Source organism: Homo sapiens, chromosome 6 (genome assembly GCF_000001405.40).
Source record: "Homo sapiens chromosome 6, GRCh38.p14 Primary Assembly".
Lineage (NCBI taxonomy): Eukaryota > Metazoa > Chordata > Mammalia > Primates > Hominidae > Homo > Homo sapiens.
Window position 1 is genome coordinate 80,079,900 of NC_000006.12, and position 4,332 is coordinate 80,084,231.

Genomic DNA, 4,332 nt, shown 5'->3' on the forward strand with positions numbered 1-4,332 from the left:
GTGGCTCAACAGAAAGAAAGGAGACAAAAGTAATGTAATAAAAGCCAACAGATTTCAAAACAATCAAAGTATTCTAGAATCAATTTTTGTACATTTCTCTTCTGTAGAAAGAGTTAATTACTACTGGGAAATTTTGGGTGTTATTTAATAGTTACAAAGCTGTTTCTAAGAGAAAAGGCTTGAAATCCCATTAGGTAAGTCAATCCAAGTTATTCTTTAGCTGTCTTTAGTCCAAAAACACTTTATCACAAAATAAAACAGTAATAACCATGCATACTAGTGACCCTGAGTCAACAAGAACCTTCCCCCACACACATATAAACAAACACACACACGAATATGTACACATTTATACAAGTTAAGACATGAAAGAAGTATGTGATCCACTTTAAACTATTTCCGTTAATATCAAGTCAAAGAAATTGATGTTTTGATGCATCTTTGGGTAAACATAATGAATGTGAAATTCCTGATTCCTTCTATGTGACCCTCTGAACTGAATGTTTATAAAGCATAATATAAAATATTTTAGTCTAATAAATTCACCTGCACCAATCTATTCAACTTCAAAAACTATTGTCTACTATTCTTTCATCATCTGTACCTCTATCCCCACTCTACCCCTCCTTGATTATTATTATTTATAGTTTTTCTTATATACATTGTATATATACATTGAATGAAATATATACACATACACACACACACACACACTGATAGAAATGTGCAAATCTTAGCAGCACAGTTTTGACTAATGCATATACACACGAAACCCACATACTTTTTTTTTTTTTTGAAACAGGGTCTCACTCTGTCGTCCAGGCTAGAGTGCAGTGGCGTGGTCTCGGCTCACTGCAGCCTCTGCCTCCTGGGTTCAAGGGATTCTCGTGCCTCAGCCTTCTAAGTAGCTGAGACTACAGGCATGCACCACCACACCCGGCTAAGTTTTGTTTTTTTAGTAGAGACAGGGTTTCACCATGTTGCCCAGGCTGGTTTTGAACTCCTGACCTCAAGTGTTCCGCCTGCCTAGGCCTCCCAAAGTGCTGGGATTACAGGCCTGAGCCACCATGCCCAGCCCCACATACTTATTATAATATAGAAGATTTCACCAGAAAGTTCCTTTGTGTTATTTCCTCCATCTCTTGTGGTAGTCAGCCTCTAAGATGGCCTGCAATGATTACCACCTGTTAATATTATGGCCCTGTGTAATGTCTTTCCACATTAAATAATGTTGACCAGGGTAACAATAAGATACTGTGGAAATGATGGACTTTCTCTTTTGTGATTGGTTTATAAAGACATTGCAGATTTCTGGTTTTTTTTTTTTTTTTTTTTTCTCCGTTGCCCAGGCTGGGGTGCAGTGGCATGATCTTGGCTCACTGCAACCTCCAACTCCCAGGTTCAAGCTATTCTCCTGCCTCAGCCTATGGAGTAGCTGGGATTACAGGCATGTGCAACCACACCCGGCTAATTTTTGTATTTGTGGTAGAGACAGGGTTTCGCCATGTTGACCGGGCTGGTCTCGAACTCCTTACCTCAGGTGATCCACCTGCCTCAGCCTCCCAAAGTGCTGGGATTACAGGCACAAGCCACTGTGCCTGGCCACCATTGCAAATTTCTCTAGGGGAAGCCAGCTGCCAAATTGTGAGGGCACTCAAGTAGCTTTATGGAAAGACCCATGTGGCAAGAAACTGAGGCCTGCTGTCAACAGTTAGCAGGGAACCAAGACCTTTTGCCAACAGCCATCTTGGAAGTGAATAAACCAGCCCAAATCAAGTCAAACCTTGAGATGAGTGCAGCCCTGGCCAATATACTGACCTTAGTCTGAGAGATCCTGAACCAGAACCATTGGGCTATACCAGTCCAAAATTTCTAACCCACAGAAATTATTTGATAATAAATTCTTGTTATTTCAAGCTGTTAAATTTGGCGTGTTTGTTATGTAACAACAGATACTACTAAATCCCTGCTATCTCTGCTCTGATTTTTTCCTTATGATTAAATTTGCCTACTTTTGAATGTCATATAAATAGAATCATACTATGTTTTATTAAAAATAAAATTATGTAATTTAATTCTATTCTTAATAGTTTGAGCTTTTCCCTGAAATTTTTCTAATGAAATTTTTTGCTCACTGAATTGCAAAAGAGCAGCAACCAATGGAAAAGCACCTCTTAATTGCCCAGCAATTTCTTATTTGAGTGTGCATATATGTACACTCAAATGTGTATGTGTTTAATTATTTAGACTTTTAAACATATTTTCTTTTTCTTTAAGAGAAACAATTTATTTAAATCTGTAGGAATGACTCTTTTGAGATGTCTCACATAACCTGGTTTCCATGAGGACCTATCTCAGGGCCTTGAACCTAGCAGGTGTTCAGTAAATATACAGTAAATAAATACGTAACTAAATCAATCAGTTATTGCCATCAATTCTGATTGCCTGAGTGAAAGAGGTTCAGACTGTGTGATCCTTCCTACTTGATCTGCATTTTGTCACTCACACTTCCTAAACTTTCACCTATGTTACAAATCCTACAGGTAGGTGTCCAACAGGGCCAGCCTGAGCCTTCTGTAGCAATGAAAAGCAGCTAGGACCGTGTCTTGCATCATTGTGGACTTAAAGCACATACCCTACTTAACACCTGCAGGCTTTGGCTGGTAATTCTGTCCCCAGGAATGTCAAGACTAAGTCACAAAGATGTACAGAAGACAATGCCTCTTTTCTGAATACAATCTCTCTTTTACCAACCTCTCTGAATAATACTGTTACTCGTTTAGGAAAGAATATGTGATGTGTAATTCCAAACATAGAAAAATGTAGATGCATTTTATCTACAGCCAGTATACTGTGTGAAGACTATTCTATAATGAAAATTTTGAAAGAAGACTCTAGTCTGTTGCTTAGATGGTATGGAATTATAGAATCTGGCATTAGCGATGATAACTTCTTGGTAGTCCTTGGGCCATCTTTTCTCACACATTTGGGAGACTAGGTCAAATAGAAATGTTTATATTCAGTTACAGATGAATCATGAATTCAAAACATTGGGAAGATGGGCTTCCATAGTCATTCTTAGAAAGCCAAGTTCACCTTGTTCTCTTGTGCTGATTTTAAAAAATCTTTTTTTTTTAATGTTGTGTGTGTGTCTGTGTGTGTGTGTGTGTGTGTGTGTGTGTGTGTAGAGAGAGAGAGACAATATTTTGCTATGTTGCCCAGGCTAATCTTGAACTCCAGGCCTCAAGTGATCCTTTCAGCCTCTAAAGTGCTTGGATTACAGGTATGAGCCACCACACCCAGCCCTATATCTTTTCAAAAATATGTTTATCTTTCTTTTATTAAACAAAATTTAGGCTTGTAATCTCAGCACTTTTGCAGGCCGAGGCCAGAGGATTGCTTGAGGTCAGGAGTTCGAGAACAGCCTGGGTGACATGGCGAAACCCGGTCTCTACCACAAATACAAAAATTAGCCAGGCGCAGTGGTGCATGCCTGTAATCCCAGCTACTGGGCAGGCTGAGACATGAGAATTGCTTGAACCCAGAAGGCGGAGATTGCAGTGGGCCAAGATTGTTCCACAGCACTCCAGCCTGGGCAGCAAAGTGAGACTGTCTCAGAAAAAAAAAATTATATAGCTAAAAGTGGTTCATACTCACTGAAGCCGTCGCTAGGAGAGTGGAATGCCGAAAGCAGATAACCAAGATGTAAATTCTTAAGACTCCAAATATGATGGGACATGCCAAAAAGACAAAAGAGCCAACTTGAAGGGGTTCCCATTGACTAAATCTGGGACAATTGGAACAAAAAAAAATAATGATGATAGTTATAATCCATGAATAAAATAAGAATCCATGCTGATATAAATAAATCGTTGAACAAATATATAAATGAAGGATTATGAAAAGCCATGTTTTAAAGTAGAATTCTTAGTAACATGCACAGATTGATGGAAATAGAAAAATCATTATTTGGCAAACACCACAGTAATAATTGTTTTAAGATCAAGATTCATCAATGCGTGATAAAATTAGTTCCTGAAAGTATTTACATAGTGTCGAAGAATCTTCCTGCAAGACAATTAGTTACAAGGAGAAAAATAGTAACTTTACAGTAGAGAAACCAGGCAGATACCACTTTAACCAAATGATCAGTTAGTCTCAAAGCTGAAGAAACACATTGATACCATGTGTCTTCTAATAAGCCCCAAGGAAGAGGACACAAAATCATTTCTGTTGTATTCTTGCTAAAAAATGCATAACCTGAATTTAATCGTAAGCAAACATCAACAAGCCCAAGTGAGGGATATCCTACAAAACAACAGGCCTGTACTC